Consider the following 20358-nt stretch of genomic DNA (forward strand, 5'->3'; position numbering starts at 1 on the left):
GTTGCATCACCCACAGACACAAGTAATTTTGACAGTTTCCCTGAGGACAACGATGAACCACCACCTGATGACAACTCAGGATGGGATATAGACTTCTAATGTATTTCTCTTACCTGCTTCTGCCTTGCTGAAGACAGCTTTTTCTGAGACACAGCTGCCAGCAAACCTGAGGGAAAGAGAGAAGATTAGTGCTCGGGGTCACCATGATGCCTTTGATCGATGCTGCTCCAGTAACTACAGTGGCATTAGGACTTACCGCTTAGATGACAATAGTGCTCTTTACATGTTTTCTGTTTGAACCTAAAATAGCAGTTGACATGGTGGTCCTGAAGCAAAGCCTTTCACCAGTAAAAGATGTTTTCTATTGTTGCAATGACCTTGCTTTGCTCTGATTATAATTTGAAAGACTGTAGGAAACACTTCAATGTAGTATAAGAGTCTGTACCTTGCTGGAATATTCAAGAAGATGAAAGAATAATATATTGGGTACAATAGATTACTATGGTACAGAAACTGGGCTATTCCCTTTCTTCAAGTGAAGGCTGTGGGATCTATTACTGCAGGCCGGTGTATATACCATACAAAAGAGGACCACACATCTGTTGGTCACAGAGTTCATGTCACACCAGTGCTAGAAGTTTCATGATTTTATTTCCCAGCAGTGCTGATGACAAGACTGAATGTTACCTTTTCTTTCTGACAGATTTTAAAAATTGATATGATAAAAGCACAACTGCTATAGATTCTGCTGAGACCTCTCATAGTAGGTATATATGAGTTTTCACAGAAGACTGAAAAATAATGCATGATATTTGTTTGTTTTTTTTGATAAATTGGCATGACAGAGTGGGGAAAAAAAGCAATTCACAAAACCATTTCATATTTTTTAAAATATTGTGCTTAAAGATGGTCCTGGAAGTAAATGACTAGCAGCCAATTGGTTTTACTTAACATACCCTCAAACTGAGGCTTAAAGTATTCCCTTTTATAAAAATAAATGCTTGGGGTAGGGTGGAGTGGGGAGGGATTAAAACCCATCCAAAAAATAAATAAAAACTATATAGGTGCTATGTATATCTTTCATCTGTAAATGTCAGTGTCTGAACAGACAACACAAATTCAAATCATTATACGTGTAGCCAGAAACTCAAGCATTTTCACTAAAGTTATTAAACCAAACTCCTGTCCAATTTCACTTATACAACATAGTCAGTCTAGAGTTGAGAGACAAAGGTAATTATAAACCTATTTGAACTAGCTTCTTGTCTTAGGCCTGAACCAAAAAACAACAAACAAACAAAAAACAAGAATGAAAAACAGAAATAAAAGAAGTAGAAAAGACAAAGAAAGAAAGCCCAAAGTCAAAGTTGTTAATATTTACAGGTTTACCAGATCTGGAACATTACTTATTTGAGGTCAGAGAACAAAACAAGAACCTGGCCAGGTGTTGATTACCTTTTAGTGAATAAGCTGAGTCCATATACTTGTCTAACTAAGAAAGCAGTACAGAGGAAAACAGGAACCTGATTTTTTTAAAATAAATTTTAAATAAAATAGAATTACTACAATTCTGCAATTTCATACTACCTAAAAAAGACTAGATTTGAAAATGTCAAGCTGATTTACTTTATTCACATGGAGAAAAGAATCCACAAATTAAACTGAGTCCTTCACTGGCATGCCAGTTGACTATTATTAGCTGTCATAAGTAACTCAGCCATTTGGAAGCATTTCCTGGACAAAATTACATTATACCTGTGAAGAAAAATATAGAAGCTTTCAAGCTGTCATTCTGTTTTGGCCCTGTGTGAATTTGGTATATTAAATTGACGCTTGCTTTTTTTTTCAGTAGAGTTTTCTTTTTAATCAATCAAACGCCTACATTTCTGGAAGAAAAAGTCCAATTAGATCATTACACCTTAACTAAGAAGGCAAATCTTATAAATTTTGCTTGAATTGTTCTTACTCAAAACTACCTTAGAATATGGTATCTTATGAAAATATAATATTCTTAAAATTTTGGAGGATAAAATGAAAAGGGTATAAACTTCAATTAGAACTTTAATCCTAAAATATTGTTATTCTTGTATTTTTGGAGTTTTCCGTCCCTTACAATTTCTCCAAATTGGTCTATTCCCCAAGATATCCACTGTTTTCTACAGATTTTAGAATATAAAATTAAACATATCAACCTAAAATCTAGCTATGAATGTTATTTCAAGAGTTTTATATTTTTAATTGGCTTTTTAAAAATATGTAATTCCAATATTATAGTGAATGTTCAGTAACTTTTGTTGAAAGATAATGTGGTTTAGGCTTGCTAAAGAAAGGCTTGCTAGAATACTAAATTTACCTTGTTATTTGGAAAGAGAATCTGCTCCTATAACGTTTTAAAAATCCCCAAAGTCCCAGAGATTAGCACTTGCTATGGATTTTGGAACTATGGTTCAAGTCTAAGACAACCAATATGAATAAGTTCAATGGAGAAGGAAGAAGTAGCATTCAGCACAAGAAACTGTAGATTGTTTCTCCCACTTGTTACTGCATCTTTGTTCATTTCACCCATAGCATTGCATTTGATGTCTGAAGTAATTACCACAAAATAAAGGTAAACTACATCTTCCAAGATGTACCAACAGAAAACATTCGTCTAATTTTGTCAACATTGAATTTTTAGGATTTAAATCTTGTCTTAATGAAGACTCTAGGGCTAAAATTCATGGTCAGTTCCATAAAATGCATCTCACTTTATTTCTGAATTTTTCACAACCCCTCTATTTTCTTACATTAAAGAACATCTGGATAAGTTAGAATAGTGCCAACTTGTTTGATTTGTTATATGATTTTCTTGTTAATGTGTTGAGTATGGGAAATAAGGGCTTTCTGTGTGTCTTGACTCACAGGAAAACTGAAACTGCCAAGGGAAGCAACATTAAAACAACTGGGATAGATTGAATACATTTGAAAAAATAATTTCTGGAAAAACGCTATACATGCTTTTTATGTTTATATCTTCTTTCTTATTAAGACATGAATCAGATCCATGTGGCATTCAAAACAAATTTATTTTGGTTATATTCTTTACAAGTCATAATTTTTACCTAAAATTGTGGAATATGCATGTGAATTACACATGTGTAGTAATAAACTCAACTATTGAATTTTTCCTGTTTCATTTCTAAATGACTGAACTGATGGTAAACAAATTTAATGAAGTCAGCTACCATGTTGAAAATAAGGATATTAGAACTGATTTCATACAATAGAGGTGATCTGTGCATTATCCATAACAACGTTTTCTTTCACTATAGGACCACAGACAAATATTTATGTAAATAGGTATTTTTGTGTGATATTTTGTGGTACATATAACTTTTTTTAGTGTTTCACAGCATTATTATTTCATTTTATTTGTATTGAATAATGTTTTTAGGTCCAAGTAGACTTGAATTAATGTCATAATTGTCAGTATTATTGAAAATTATGTCAACTGTACTGTTATTCATCTGTCCCATAGTTTAGAACATGACCTGGCTATCTGGCATTGTTGCAAGTGCCTTAAATTCATGGCATCCTATTAAAAAAACAAATTTGGTGTTATGCTGCATGACAAAGACAAACACACCTCAAAATGTTGTCCTTTCTTAGCTTGCTGCGTTTTACAGTTCTTTCTGCTAACAATTTATAAGCCTTTATTATATAATATTGATGAATTACAGAAATGATGAAGTTGTTCTCTTATTTCTGTTAAATGTACCAGAGCTGTGTATCTGTTAATGAGATACAGCGTCATTTCTGTGAAATGTATAAATGTATGTGCAGGTCAAATTAATATATGACATTCTATCAGTCTGTATACAGGTATTCCTGTTTTGCTAAGCTGTGCAGATTCTGTAAAAATAAATTAGTGCAGTCAAGTTCTAACATATCTCATTTTATAGACTCCATTGACAATGGTCCAACCGAAAAGAAAAATTGGAAATGACTGCTAACCAGACCTCGTTATGAAACCAATGATGAAAAAGTCACTTGGTGCACCTCTCAACAAAACAGGATGCTTTTTCCGAGTTCTTGTATATGCAAATCATTTACGAGGCAAGTTTTCAACAGACCTAGAAAGCAAAACATTGAAAGTGTGTTGTTAGCCCTCCTCTCTGCCCCTGAATCAACAGACAGAGCTCTGGGACCTTGGCAATGACTCAGAGGTTGGGGCTTTCTGAGTAAAGGGACATTTCTTTAAGCATCATCTATCAAATTTATTTCAATGTATGATGTTTTTACAACTGGTCAGTTCTTTTGTATTCTTACAGCTATGGTTATTTGATTGTCCTCTTACAATTTGTTCTACATGAAAGAGTTCTTTGTTAGTCAGAATGCAACAAACTGTCATCAAATGGTCATTGACCACTTGCACTCTTTTGATGTAGATTAAAAACTTTTTCATAAATTTACCTGCTTTGATTTGCTCTGTATTTTTCCTGCAGCTGTAATTGCTGAGTGCCTGTTGTATACTTTATAGAGTTGAAATAAAAAAATAATTACTTTTGAACTTAGTTGATGTTTAATTCCAGACAAGATTCCAAGAATAGAATTGGTATATCATACTAGATGAAATACCAGGTAGTGCTGTTGTAGAATGTCACTATAACAAAGTAGGAAATACCTATAATCCAAGCATCCCTCATGAAATAATATACTATATTATAATCTAATATAAAACTAATCCAACAAATTGGTTTTAAAGAATTCATAGGAATAATGTTGGGCCATCCAGTGTGAAAAGCAAAGTGAATATAGATATTCACACAAACTCAGAAATTAGCAGATTTCTGAGCATGACCACCACACAGTCCTTTTTTGGGCTATCCCTAGTCAAACTCTGTACTAGGCAAAACAATCAAAGGGACAATTCTTGTATATTACTACATCCTAGGAGGAAATGATTTCATATGAAAAGCAACTTCATGAGTCTTTGTCCAAGGATTTTTCACCTGATTCCTTGGCTTCATCATATGCACAAAGAAGAAACATTTGGGGAACAATATGATTACAACAAATTCAACTCTCCAAAGCCTAGTTAAACATATTCTTTCTACATCCCTTTGTCCTTCTCTGCAGTAAATGATGCACACATGAAAACTGGCTGCAGCATGAAGATTCTCTCAATTACATTGTTTTTGTCTTTTTGACCTCACATTGCCAGTGACAGTGAGTTGAAAACCCTTGTTTGATGAAAACTAGAAATTCAGTTAACTTTTTCAGATAAAGTCAATAAAACCACTTGAAAAAATACTATGTCACGATTGCACATCCAGTAATTTCATTTCTTCTGCAAATAGAACTGTAATATAAGCTTTTAACATCCATCCTTTAAGTTATATGATTTTTCATACCCTTAATCTAAGAGTGTTCTTCTTGATCATGAAAGGGTTTTGTTTTTGTACTAATTGCACAGTTTTGGGAGGAGCACGCAGATCAACACAATCATTAGAAGGATAGGGAGGAGGAGACGTCAGTGATGGTGATGATGTTGCATCTACATCACTCACATCTTGTGCATACTAATTTCAGTGGGAATAAATCAGTGTGCAATTTTTCAAGAATGACAATAGGAATCAATTCTAAATTTGAAAGAAATGGATTGATTGTGTGATCATCCAAATGATACCCAAGTGTAAATATTACAATGTTACGCCTGCAGACCTACCTTTAGATTCTTAGTTATAGCCCTGTGTGTCATGCTCATAATACAGGCCACCACATTAATGTTTCTTTTGTGTGGGTGGGTTGTGTTTGAGACAGGGCCTCACTCTGTCACCCAGGCTGGAATGCAATGGCACAATCTCAGCTAACTGCAGCCTTGACTTTGTGGGCTCAAGGGACCCTCCTGCCTTGACCTACCAAGTATCTATGACTACAGGTGCACATCACCATGCCCAGTTAATTTCACACTAACTTTTTTTTTTTTTATTGAGAGTCATATTGAGAGCTTTCTTCTGTGTCCCCAGACTTCTCCTTTCTAACTCAAAAAGTCCTATAAATTGATAAAACAGTAATATTTATCTCTGGCAGCTGTTTTTTATCCAAGGTGAGTCTATGGAACAAAAGACAAATCTATCTATCTACCTACATGCCCATTAGCAAAGCCAAACAGGTTAAGCCTCAAACTTGTGCAAAAAAAAATTATAGAAAGAAAAAAAAAAAGGAAAACAAGGTATCTCTAACAACCCAAAAGTCTGGCCACAGATTTTATAAAAATTCATGGACAAGCTCTAGACATAGGATCTAAGCCAGTGTTTTTCAAACATTACTGTCATAAGATGTATCTGGGAAATAATATAAAAACATAGGTTTCTAGGATAATCCAAAGTTATTTTGAGGTATAACCCAGGAATCTGAATTTTTAACCAGCCCATTAGTGTATTTTGATACATCTCTATGAGGTAGAAGCAGGAGAAAAGGATCCATGGAGAAACATTTCAGGAATGGTGGGGTAAATGAGGTAAACAGAAAAAAATAACTCTGTAAAGAATCATGGACATCCAAAGCCTATAAATGCTCTCAGAAATGTTAAATGGCATTTATATTCCACCCATAGAAGTGTTCTTTCAATTAACATATTAAAATGGGCTATGAATAATAAGCTACTTTTTGTTAAGGAATAGACCCATGTCTTGATTTGCAAAGCCAAAAATGTATATGTATACCCACCTCTGGTATCTGGTACATCAGTGCAGGATACTAGGAGTTAATTTGCAGGAGGACTCTTAGTCCTCTGGGGAGAAATGATACTGGTGACCTGAGCGCTGGCTCAGCTGGATTTTGGCCACAGTTCATCAATGTCTGATTTCCCTCCCTGGGGCACTTTTCTGTGCCATGTAAGTCAGGTTTGGCTTTTTGACTTGCTTTGGCGGTTGAAAGGTGAGCCTTGTCACTGCTGCAAACAGAAGCTTTAAGAGCCAGTTCTTGCTTCATTACATTCTCCTTTACCTGTGATGTTGTGATCAGCATTTCCTCAACAGTGGCTGCCCTGTCAGCTTCAGAAGCAGAGTAAGGACAGTGATGAGAAGGAGTGGAGCCCCTCACCAACTCCCAAAGGCTTTACAGTGGAATATATTGTTGTTTTGAACCACTAAGATTTTGGCTTTGTCTATTTCAACAGGATTTCGCCCATTCCGACTGATACAACTGTCACATTCAAAAGAAAGGTGAGGCCTGCCCTAGCCTCTGCAAGGTGATTTATCACTGTAGAAAATAACAGGCAGAAAATAACAGAATAAATCTTTAGACCCTGAGTCACAGGCAGTAAAAACTGCAGTGAAGACTTGAATTCACCCAAATGCCCAATCTTCTGGCAGAAACTACCTCAAACTTGACATAGCAAAGATACATTTTAAGAGAGTAATGGAAGGAAACATTTTAAGAGTCCAGACCATCTAAGGTTGGTGCAATGATTTACCTGGGCAATTTGCATGAAGACTTTCAAATTCAGAAGCACTGGTACTAAAGCATGAGAAGCAAAGAGGCCAGTAGAAATTATGTTAGACATGGAATCGGGGGATTTGTAATTCCTAGGAAGAACATGATTCTTCAAGGTTCCTGGAAAGAAGTGAGAGTGGAGAGATTTTACAATAAAAGCAAGTTGGAATAGGAACAACATACCATCTTAACCATAATTCTAAATGTCTTCTGTGTAACCCTTTGCTAATTACATGTGCCACAAATTACTATGTAAATGGAAGTGAATTACTTAGGGCCTTGGTTTCCTGACCCATAAGAAGATTATTAGAGTTATTTTTGGTAATAAAACTCTCTGCTTTTAAGTTCCTTCACTTACAACCTCCCTGCCAGGGCTGGCAAACTGTGATGCACCATCTAAATTTGTCTCACAGCCTGTTTTTGTAAATAAAGTTTTATTGGAACAAACATATTGTCTGAAGCTGCTTTCATGTTACAACAACACTTGAGTAGTAAGCTAGAGGCTGCATGGCAGGTAAAGCCTAAAATATTTACTATCTGGGCCTTTCCAGAAAAGGTTGCCAATCTCTGATCACAAAGGAAAGGCTTGCAATGAGCTGATGATTTTCAAGTTCAGTTCTCCATAGAGCTTCAGAACATTGAAGTAATGTCTCAGAGTCTACCGGGATGGAATAGGGAGAGGAGTACCTGGATTAACAAAAGGGGACATGCAGGGAGTAAGCTCCACAGGCTCCAGATTTCTAATTCTGATTCAGCCAGAAAGGTTACAATATTATTTGTTTTACATATCAGTTTAACATATTCTAATGTTAAACCACCCATATGTATTTATGTATATATATGTGTGCATATCGTATATATGTATATACACATATATATGTATACACATGTATATATACACATATATGTATACACATGTATATATACACATACATGTATACACATGTATATACACACATATGTATACACATGTATACACACACATATGTATACACATGTATATACACACATATGTATACACATGTATATACACACATATGTATACACATGTATATACACACATATGTATACACATGTATATACACACATATGTATACACATGTATATACACACATGTACACATGCACATATACACACATGTACACATGTGTATATGCACATATGTACACATGCCTATATGCACATATGTACACATGCCTATATGCACATATGTACACATGCCTATATACACATATGTACACATGCATATATACACATATGTACACATGCATATATACACATATGTACACATGTATATATAGAAATATAATTTAATGTGTATTTAATATTCCATTGGTATATTTGCCACTCTATGCAGTACTATCAAACTGGCTCAGTTAACATGGTGTATAAATATTATTTATATCTTATGGGGTACCCCCACTGCCCTCCGTCCCTCCATCCCCCTAGCTTTTTGTCTTTAAAATTGTTTTGGCACACTAGAGTCCTTTTATTCTACATAAATATTAAAACCATATGGTCATGTTTCATGAAAACACCTTTTAGGATTTTGATTAGAATTATTTTTAGTTCATAGATTAATGGGAGAAATGACAACCTTATGATTTTAACTTTTTCCACTCGTGAGCATTATTTACAGTTTATAGAATGTCTTCAAAAGCATTTTTAATACAATTCATTTACATATTTGGTTGCTATTAAAATAACATTTTAACATATTATACTCTCGAATATTATAAAATAGTGGCACAGAGAAATTCAATTGATTTCTTCGTTTTTTTTGAACAGTCTCACTCTGTTGCCCAGGCTGGAGTGCAGCAGTGCTATCTCGCCTCACTGCAACCTCCGTCTCCTGGGTTCAAGCAATCCTCCTGCCTCAGCCTCCCAAGTAGCTGGGACTTACAGGTGTGCACCACCATGCCTGGCAAATTTTTGTATTTTTAGTAGAGACAGGGTTTCACCATGTTGGCCAGGCTGGTCTTAAACTCCTGAGCTCAAGTGATCCATCCACCTCAGCCTCCTAAAGTGCTGGAATTGCAGGCGTGAGCCACTGTGCCCTGCCAATTTCTTGCATAGTGCTCTTATGTCCACCATCCTTGCTGAAATTTTACTGATTAATGTCTATGTCTATTTTTTGGTTATTTATAAAGATAATATTGTCATCTCTGAATAACGAAATGTTGTATTTAACTCTTTATAGTTCCAATCAGTAATCTTTTTCTTGAAGTAATGGGCTGGCTAGGACTCCACGTAAATGTATAATAATAAAATTACAGTTGGCATCCTTGTCTCTTTTCTGATTTTAAATTTCATCATTAGATGTTTGATACAGGTTTTATACACATACACACGATCATATTAAGAGAGTTCTTAGTTGGTCAATCTTTTTAAAAAATCAAAATTCTGTTTCAGCATACATTAAGATGGGCATGTTACTTTCTTAATCCTTTTATTGTGGTCGACTTGGTGGAAGATGTATAACACATCTAATGTTAAGCCACCCATGCTTCCTTGGCATGAATTCAACTTTGTCATTACATGCATTTTGAATATATTGGTGTTTTTGATTTACCAATGTTATATTTTATTTATTTATGTATTTTAGAGACAGGGTCTCTCTGTCACACAGGCTGGAGTGCAGTGGTGCAATCCTAGCTTACTGCAGCCTCAAACTCCTGGGCTCAAGTGATCCTCGAGGTCGCCTCAGCCTTTTGAGTAGCTGGGACTATAGACACATATCACACACAGCTAGGTTGTTTATTTTTTATAGAAATTGGGTCTTGCTATATTTCACAGTCTGGTCTCAAGCTCCTGGCTTTGAATGATCCTCCCACCTTGGCCTCCAATATTATATTTTAGACTTTTCTGTCTATGATCTCAAGAGAGTAGCCTAAAAGTCCCCTTTCTTGAATTATCCTCATCTGTTTGTGTATAAAGGTTATACTAACCTACTTAGTTAGGTTAGTCTTCTCATCCAGAAAACAGAAATATATGGATATATACTCCACTTCATTACCAGGAACTGTAAATTTAAAAATTAAAATAAACCATTTTTATTCATGAGATTTGCAAATTAAAGTTTAAAAGTAGCAACATGTTGGTTAGAATGTAGAGCAATGTAAAATTTTCATATCTGCTGGTACAAATGGGAATTTTTACAAATTGGAAGAATAATTTTCCAATATTTAACAAAGTTGAAAATGTCTGTATCCTATAACTGAACACTTCTCTTCATTGGTATATTTCCTAGAAAAAAAGTTCATACACATTCACTAGGAGATATATATATATATATATATATATATATATATATATATATATCTCAGCATATCTTCAGAAGAATTTTGAAATAGTAAAAAATTTAGAAGTCAAACTGCCCATCACCTGGATAATAGACCATTAAATCTGGTGTATTCAAACAATAGAATATTATATGAAAGTGAATATAAATGCATTAGTTAAATTTAACATGGCTAAATTTCAGAAACAGCGCTAAATGAAAAAATTGCATAATACAGTGTGACAACATTTATATAATTTTTTAGGTGAGAAACTTTTATTTTGGGGGAAATGGCAGATTCAGTTATTTGAATCAACTCTCTTACTGAAAATTTAAAACGCTACTACATATGTATATGTATATGTATATGTATATGTATATGTATATGTATCTGTGGGTGTGTATGTTACATCCCTCTCTCTCTCTTAAAAATCTCAAAAAGTTGGCAACATACTAAGAAAAAGCCAAGTCAAAATCTAAGGGAACACGGGAACCATGAAAGTGGGCCACTGAAACTTTATTTGCTCTGAGAACATTTCTCGAGTCTGTTGAAGTAGAGCTTTGGTTTAATAGCCACCTGGGACAAGGGATATATATATAAAAGTCAATATTCAAGGACTACAATTTTTAAAAATTAAATGGCATAAACTTACAACTAAAGTACATTAAAATAATAGTATATAAATGTTACAAAAATTATATAAAATATATACTCAAAATATATACTCAAAACTTATTACTACCTAAATATATTACTTCATTGTACTATTGCATATCCTCTTGAAATTATTTATATCAATTGTATCTGTATGGGGCTCAGTGCAGTGTCTCATACCTGTAATCCCAGTGTTTTGGGAGGCTGAGACTGGAGGATCTCTTGAGGCTAGGAGTTCAAGGCCAGCTTAGGCAACATAGTGAGATGCTGTCTCTATTTAAAAAATCATTTTTAATTATCTGGGCCTGGTGGCGTGCATCTGTAGTTCTAGCTATGCTTATAATCCCAGTTCTTTGTGAGGCTGGGGCAGGTGGATCACTTGAGTCCAAGAGTTTGAGGTTGAAGTAAGCTATGGTTGCACCACTACACAGCAGCCTGGGCAACAGAGCAAGACTCTGGTAAAAAAAAAAAAAAAAAAAAATTGTACCTATATGGTGAAAGCACTGTATAATTGTGAGCACATCTTCTCATTTCCATGGTCAGTGGAGTCACAGTTTTCACTTGAAATTGTCTTTGATGATTAATTTTATATGTTAACTTGATTGGGTTCAGGGATACCCACATCACTGGTAAAACAGTATTCTTGGTTGTGTCTCTAAGGGTGTTTCCAGAAAAGATTTGCACTTGAATTATTAGATTGAGTAAAGAAGGCTTGTCCTCTCCAATATGAGCAGGCATCATCCAGTCCACTGGGGGCCTGAACAAAAAAGAAGAAGGAAGGGAAAAATCTCTCTCTTCTTGATCAGGGACTCCATCTTCTCCTACCCTTGCACATCAGAGCTCTTGGACCCGCAGAGTTCTTAATAGATTTTTTTTTTTTTTTTGAGATTGGAATTTGGTTCTTGTTGCCCAGGCTGGAGTGCAATGGTGTGGTCTTGGCTCACTGCAACCTCTGCCTCCCAGGTTCAAACAATTCTCCTGCCTCAGCCTTCTGAGTAGCTAGGATTACAGGCATGAGCCACCATGCCCAGCTAATTTTTTTGTATTTTTAGTAGAGACGGGGTTTCACCATGTTGGCCAGGCTGGTCTTGAACTCCTGACCTCAGGTGATCCACCCACCTCAGCCTCCCAAAGTGCTGGGATTACAGGCGTGAGCCACCACACCCGGCCTAGATTTTTTTTTTTTTTTTAAGAGATTGGATCTCACTCTCTCACTCAGGCTGGAATGCAGTGGTGCAAACAAGGCTCACTGCAGCCTTCACCTCCTGGGCTCAAGCAATCCTCCCACCTCAGCCTTGCAAGTAGCTGAGACTACAGATTACAGGTATGTGCCATCACATCCGGCTAATTTTTTATTTTTAGTAGAGATGGGGTCTCACTGTGTTGCCTAGGCTGGTTGTGAACTCCTGGGCCCGCCCATGCAATCCTCCTGATTCAGCCTCCCAAAGTGTGATTATCGGCATGAGCCACCATGCCTGGCCTCGATAGATCTTTTTTAAGGAAAAGAAAAGCACCTTTAATTGACTAATATTTGCCTTTCAGTGCCTATAAAAACAGGAAAAAAAATCTGTTTCTCTCCTATTCTTTACATACTTGTAAGAAAGTTCCAAAAAAAAAAAGTTCCACTTATTTACTTACTTATTTTTCTAATCTCAGCTGTGAATTAAACCCTAGCAAAGTAATTTTTCAAACAAGTTTAGGACTTTGCCTGCAAATCAGGAACTCTAAATACAAAGAAAACATGCATTTTAAACCTTTAGACTTCACAGCTCTAGCCACAGTTCCCTTCTAAAATTCTTAGTGTAAATGATACTAGTAAATGGTATTAGCAGGAAGGCGTAGAAGAATATGCCCCTAATAGAAAGCTAATTCACCACTCTACTCTGCCTCAGTGCTTCCATAGCTTCTAAGTAAGCTTGTGGCTCTGCTGAATTCACAAAGCTGTTGGTATCTGCAAAATGTTTTTCATTTCTTTTTCAAACTTAGAGCTTACTTTAAAGAATATGATTCTCGTGGTAAACAGAATCAGCTGGATTGCAGTAATATTATGAGAAGATGGAGATACTGATGGAGAAAATAGCACAATCAGGAAATGTAGACAAGTATAATGAATATACTAATGACATTTTGAGAGGTTTTGATAGAGGTCGATGTGCTTTTTAAAGTCATTATTATAAATATATTTTAGAATATCATCCTAAAATAATAGTATACAATTTTTTACTTAGCATCTAACTGATAGCTACAAAATGAGTACACAATTCATATTGAACTGAATGTTTAGAGATGGCATTTCTTACACATCTTCCATGATCTTTTCTTCTTTAAAAGAAATCTTTAAAAAAAATAGAACTTTTTTTTTTCTGCCAGAACTCTTCAAAAAACATCAGACAGAAGAACAAAATTGGGTCTAGTTTAAAATATTGGCTATCAATAAAATGCACAACTGCCATTAACATATATGTTAACAGTTGCATATACTATGCTAGGACCTGCACTTCCAATATGTTGTTTTATTAATTTTCCTGCTGTTCCTTTTCTCCTTGTGCATCATGTTGACTCAAATGAAGTGAAACTGTTAAATAGTACATTATAACTATTGTTTTGCATAAACTATTGAATGTTTTTATCTTCCTTTTGAAAATGTAAATCTGAGATTAATATTTTTATTATCCAAATTAATTAAAAAAGCATATTCTGTTATATTTTCATTCTCCCTGAATAGTTACATTGTTTGAGCTTTCTTAATATTTGTTTAGCCTAGCATTTCCCTATAACATTATATATTAACATACTAATCTGGAGACCCAGACATTTTTATCCAGCAATGCAATATAGAGCCTTTGAACTTCAACCAAACTAAAACATTTAATAAGAACCTAAGTTTCGCACCCCAGCTCCCTTTTATTTTTTAAGTATATGGTGGTGACAGTACCAGACCTTATTATTTTAATTCTACCATGTGTAGATTTAATTTTTCAACAAAACATTATGTGGAATATTAAGAAGGACAAAATATATTTGGCTTTAGAGAGTTTGCAGCATAGGGAGTTATGAAAATACACAAGTAATTGGACCTAGAAAATAAATATAACTACAGGATTAATACATACTTTTCCCTACTAAGAACTTCTACGGAAATTCCACCAGGAGGCAGCAGAAGAGCGGGTTTCTCCCACCTCCCCCCGGACGCCGGAGACACCGCGGAGCCTGATGTCCCTCAGAGCTTTAATCTTCCCCTCAGTCGCCTTTCCCCTCACCCGCCTCTAATTAAGTCAGAAAGGCCCTGTATTTATTTGCCCATGAACTGACACAGCAAACCAACAGCAGCCATTGTAGTGTGAATGGATTTGCGACCAGGCAAGGGGCTTCAGCCGGGATTACCCGCCCCGCAGCCGGATGAATGTGCTGAGCACAAAGTCTGCTCAAAGCCGAGCAAACGGACTATTTGTGAAAATGCCATCCTGGCTCAAGTCTGATTAAGACCGGGGGTCCCCAGGCCGTTTGATCTTCGCTCATCAAAGAGAGTCTTTAAACAAGCTTCATTTTACACTACTGTATGCTAGCGACGGGTTGTGACACCCAAGTGCAGCCACCGTGAGCACCCGGCACTGGGAGCGCGTGAACAATAATGGGGGATTCGCCGTGCTGCGCCGTGCAGGGCGCGGGGCCTGCGCGCTGGGAAACGCGCCCGCACTGGAGGCAGGGCCGTTGCGGAAGGACTCAGGCTTGGGAGCCCCTAGGTTGGCCAGCCAGGTAGTTCCCTGACGTGACTCCTGCCACGGACTCCTAGACTCCTCTGAAAATTATTTTACTTTTGTAACTTAAGGGTGATGAAGAATCCTTACACGAGTTAATTATACATCCCTCCTGCTCTTCCCCGCCAAAAGTTAATAGTTCTATTTAATAGCCTACATCTTCCACTCTTCAGCATTTCTAAGACTGGGTGTCAAGACTAAAGTGTTTTTAAGGTCCTACTTTCTACTTTTCACCTTAAGGTCCTTTACAATTCACCAGTTGGAGAACTGGTGATAGCTGAAAACATCAGCTTTAAATATTACAACCAATTTTGTGATGGGAAAACAACCTCCACACACACACACATACACACACACACACACACACTTTTTAAAAAGTCGCCTGGTCCAAGTAATTCACCTTATTTCCAGGCACTTAATACTTACATGCTAGTCTCTTCAAAATCGACATGCTCAGTATCAGTGTCAATGATTATTACTTGATCTTTAGGCTGCATAAAAGAACAGACTCCTTGCAGGATGTTCTTATTTAACCTGAGTACAAAAGGCCTTCTCTTGGCAGTGCTGAAAGAAAAAGAAAAGAAAGAGAGAGAGAAAGAAAGGGAGACTTTTGTAGTGAAAAGGAACCTCTCCATCTCCCCTGCATCCCATTTTATAAAGAAAAGCCAGTACCACACCAAGAGTTAAATGGCTTTCCCATATTTAGGAGCCAGATTATGGCTGACACCCTATACAGAGTACCATCCCTAGCCTCTTAACTCCTTGGCACGATGCCTTTCTTGGCCATACCCTGGGAGAAGATCTGTCTTATAAAGGAGGTAATAATAGGAACCCAGTGACATGGAAGAAAATTGTTTTTCTGTAGATGCGGAGACTGTGTCATGGGATCCTACATCTTGCTTTCTGCAGACACTGGCCTATCCTTAGGGTTGGAGATGTTAAATCCTTTGGGGACTCAAAGAGGACATTGCACTCCCTATACCCACCACCACAGACCTTTCTGAGTGTCAGGACCTCAGAAAGGATGCAGGCAGATATCTATCTGGTTAGGCACTATCTTCACTGGGTTTAGAGGCTGGAACCCAGCCTCTACTCTCAGATTAGCTTTTAATGTCTTACTCCAGTAAAACACATCTTCTGAGCTTGGTTAGAAAGCTACCACGGAGCCTGATTTATCTGGGCTGGCCATCTCCACCGCCCAAATAAATGTAATCACGGTCAAATCTTGCCCTCTGTTTGTACTGGGGAGTGCAGAAAATCCAGCTCTCAGGGGAGTCATAACATGGACCAGGTCTAAAAGTTCTTTTAACATCATGAAGAACATTAAGACCAAACTGTTTTAAAAGTCAATGAGAAAGTCATATCATTTTTTACAAAACATCAGGAATGAGGAATCCCTGCTATACTCAAGATTGACACTAACAAAAATGTTGGCAACACCCACCGTAAGGAATGATATGTATGCGGTATTTTCCTAGCAAAGTAAAATTATATGGCAACAAATCTGCTTCTTTTGATTTAATGAAGAGAAAGAAGGAAAGAAGGGAAGGAGGGAGAGAAAAAAGAAAAGAGGAAAGAAGGGAATTTAAAATACAGCAGTAGACTGGGCGCGGTGTCTCACTCCTGTAATCCCAGCACTTTGGGAGGCCAAGGTGGGAGGATCACTTGAGCCTAAGAGTTTAAGACCAGCTCTGGCTAGCAACATAGTGAGACCCTGTTTCTACAAAAAAATTAAAAATTAGCCAGGTGTGGTGGCATGCAGCTGTAGTCCCAGCTACTTGGGGGTGAGGTGGAAGAACCGCTTGAGCCTGGGAGGTCAAGGCTGCAGTTAACCACGATTGCACCACTGTGCTCCAGCCTGAGCGACAGAATGAGATCCTGTCTCAAAAAATATATAAAAATATATAAAATAAAAAAAATCAGCAGTCACAAATAATAGAGATGGAAAAATAGTTGGTGAATAGCATGGAGTGTTTTGGAGTATATTTGTCTGTCTCCCTCATGGATGAAAAGGTTGAGAAATATTCTATGCATGGCATCCAGCACTTAAAATATAAAGAAGACATGTGTTAGCATGCTGTTCCCGAGTTATGAGGTTCAATTCCACGCTGATAAGCATATTTCACCTATTCAAAAATATAATACAAAATATTAAATTTGTTACATTAATTATGATCATATTTATACCAGACTGAATAGGAGGCAGGGTTCCCTACAGGACTAAATAAACTCAGTTTAATAAACTAAATTCATCTACTCTGGCTCCCACCTCCTCTGTCACCCAGCTGTAAGAGAGACTCAGACAATCACCAGAACCCTCTCTCCTTCCTAAGACATGTTGGTCACAGTTCCTGCACATTTTTCTTGCTCTCCATGACCTAGTATCTGCCAAAATATAATCGATGTTGGAAAAATTTTTACCCCCAGCCCCATGTAAGTATGTTGTATTTCCCCAACTAGTCACAGACTGAAAGCTGAGGACAAGAAGCCTGCCTTTCATATTGTGAGATATGCTCCCAATAATGGATACTCACCGAATATTAACTGGCTGCTGATGGAACAATGAGTTTTACTATACCTCTTTATCTACCTTGCACTCTTGTTGCCAATGAACAAACCACATCCTGGAAAGGATTTTCAAATGGAGAAAAAGTACTGAAAAAATAAATTTCCTCATTTGGAACAAAGGTTTGATTTGCTATGTACTTAGCCCTCTCTGAGGACCACCCATGTAATTTCTCCCCTGAATAATTTGTGAGGTTACCTCTCCTCTGCCCACTAAATGATTTGAAGGTAGATTATATGTGAACTCATCTTTTATCACACAATATCATGTATAATGCTTAGCACAAAGTAGGAACTCAGATATTGACCAACTCATTATTAGTTTTAAACTCATGACAACTTCAGGAGCAATGTGAAAGCTGAGGAAGGAGGTAGAAGCTAGCCCATTCTTGAAACTCTATGCTTGGTTTAGCTCTCCTAGCTCAATACCACAGATTCTGTCCAGACTCAGTGAATATTGAAACATAATAGACAAATGATATGTGTTCAGAGATCAAGGTTGAATTTATGCAACAAGCTTCTTTGTTATAACAGAATTTTCCTTTTGTTGATTAAATTGTTCCACTTTCTCTTCTTTTGCCCCAGGCAATGGATTTTTTTTGTGAAGCCAAGCTTTTAATGAACCAAGTTCATTAAATGTATTAATCATATACTATCTCTTCAGAAAAAAAGGCAAGAGATTGGCCTTTAGTGTGGCACAAATATATTTCTAGATTCAAAATATTTAAACAGGTTAATAGGACTAAAAAGAAACATTTTCAACCTTCTGATTGGCAGGCGGATTTTTCTCTACGTTTCAAAGTCATTCAAACTTAACACAGCTTGCAGATTTCCTAGTACACTGAAGGTGCTTAACGCATTGATTCCTGACAGGATAATTTCCTGGACAGATGGAATTTGGGATGGGAAGGACACTAATATAACTAGGGTACCATTCAAGAATTGTTTAGATGATCTTCTTAATATTACCTTTGAAACTGAAGGAACTAGAACACAGACCATAGTAAATTGTGTTTTAATTACTCCTTCTCCCAGTAAACTTTAGGATTTTTTTACTTTAAGATTGTCACTGGCTTTACTTGGTGGTGGCCCCAGTTCTGACTATAGTAGGTCAGCATGTGGAGTCATTATAGACAGCCTAAATCTATACAGCTTAGAGGAAGACAAAATAAATATATCTTACTCTTTTTTAATTCAATAGTGATTATTCAATCATCTCTCCCTTTTCCAAACTCACAAAACAGTTGCTTATTTTCTGACACTTATAATATCAACCTGTTTTTAAAAGAATTATGTATGCTTTTATATTTATTGCTATAATTTTATTGTTACTACATCTTTTATTATTACTGTAATTAGAATAAAGAGAACTTTATTATTTAAAATGAGAGCTGTGTCTCATAAATATTTGTATTCACTGTGCCCCTCCCCCCACCACCCATCTCACCAAAAAATTTAAAAAATAAAAATAAGGTAACAACCCAGAGGGCAGCCCAATGCCAGGGCTCTAGGCTTCCAATAAGTTTTTGTTGAATTAAATAGATCATTTCCCATTTATAAGCATGACATCATTCTTATACACCAGCCTTACTTTATTATATCCACACACCAATTTCAATGACGTCAAATTCACTTTCTAATTCACTTTCAGCTCTTCTTCTCCTCAAGGTTGTTTCTTTTCTCCCTAGAAAGGGTATTGCGTGGTCCCGTGCAAGGTAAGACTTGGGAGCAAACCCTGCATTCGGAAGCGTTGCGATGTGATATACTAATGAGGAAGTCAGGCGCTAAGCCCTAAGGGTTTCTTATTTCTCCACATTAGCCCACCACTGAGAAGGGAGAACCGGGGAAAGGCGACTGACCTGGCACGTTGGACCCTGTCCGCTTTGGTCCCGGCCACTTTGATCTCACGCGTCTGCCTAATCAAGTTCATCTACCGCCGCGATTGCCCTGATTCAAAGAACAACATTAAATGGTTTGATTATCGGATGGTCATTTCCCTCTTCCCTCCACCCCTGATCTAATTTCTAAACGCCAGTCTCTCGCCTCCCTCTCTAAACTTCCCATCAAAAGAGAATTAGCTCTTCTTCCTTCTTACCCTCGTTTGATGTGCAAATTTCCTTCTCTTTGCACATTTTTCTCGCAGTGGCGGGGGGAGGTGGGGGAGGAGGGCAACTGAAGGACCTCAAAGCCGGGGATCTAACTCAGATCTGCAAACTGCGACTCTAAAGGGTTAATGAGCAACTTGCACCCGCCACCTGGCCCTCTCAGAGGCGTCTTGCTAGAGCCATTGAATTACAGACCGGTTTGTATTTAATACTGAATATGACTTGTGTGCACAGTCAGCGAGTATTGGCATAAAGGAGAGGGGCAAAAAGTGCTTTTGCAGAGCCTATCACCCCTCGGCTCTGTAAAGTATTTCAGATCCGGATAATTCAACCCTTACTGCCAGGCAAGGGCACCCAAGTTCCCAGAGTTCCTGCTGCCGCCTGCATTTATTAAAGTCGTCTGCTATAACGCTCGCTGGTAGCCTTCACCCCGAAGGTGAGCCGGGCCAGCCGAGCGACTAAGCAAGGGAGGGGCGGGGTGAAGAGTGTCAAAGGCCCCCCTTCATGTACACAAAC

The 20358-nt window shown here is 37.1% G+C and overlaps 1 protein-coding gene and 1 long non-coding RNA gene across 5 annotated transcripts in view; one reads left to right on the forward strand and one right to left on the reverse strand.

The window, feature by feature from the left end:
* The window catches only part of PRKG1 (protein kinase cGMP-dependent 1), a 1307463-nt gene extending 1302914 nt beyond the window's left edge, over positions 1-4549 (forward strand). For all 4 annotated transcript variants that reach the window (NM_001098512.3, XM_017016413.2, NM_006258.4 and 1 more), the window contains one exon: positions 1-4549. In NM_001098512.3, the coding sequence (NP_001091982.1) occupies positions 1-99 (99 nt within the window). In that variant the 3' untranslated portion in view covers positions 100-4549.
* On the reverse strand, positions 3047-20327 carry PRKG1-AS1 (PRKG1 antisense RNA 1). Its single transcript, NR_038277.1, has 6 exons — positions 19833-20327; positions 19597-19684; positions 15599-15736; positions 7460-7599; positions 6712-7037; positions 3047-4112 (listed from the first exon to the last, which is right to left on the reverse strand). It is a non-coding gene; the product is annotated as a PRKG1 antisense RNA 1 (long non-coding RNA).
* Between the last annotated feature and the right edge of the window lie 31 nt (positions 20328-20358).

The sequence above is a fragment of the Homo sapiens genome, chromosome 10, assembly GCF_000001405.40.
Source record: "Homo sapiens chromosome 10, GRCh38.p14 Primary Assembly".
Lineage (NCBI taxonomy): Eukaryota > Metazoa > Chordata > Mammalia > Primates > Hominidae > Homo > Homo sapiens.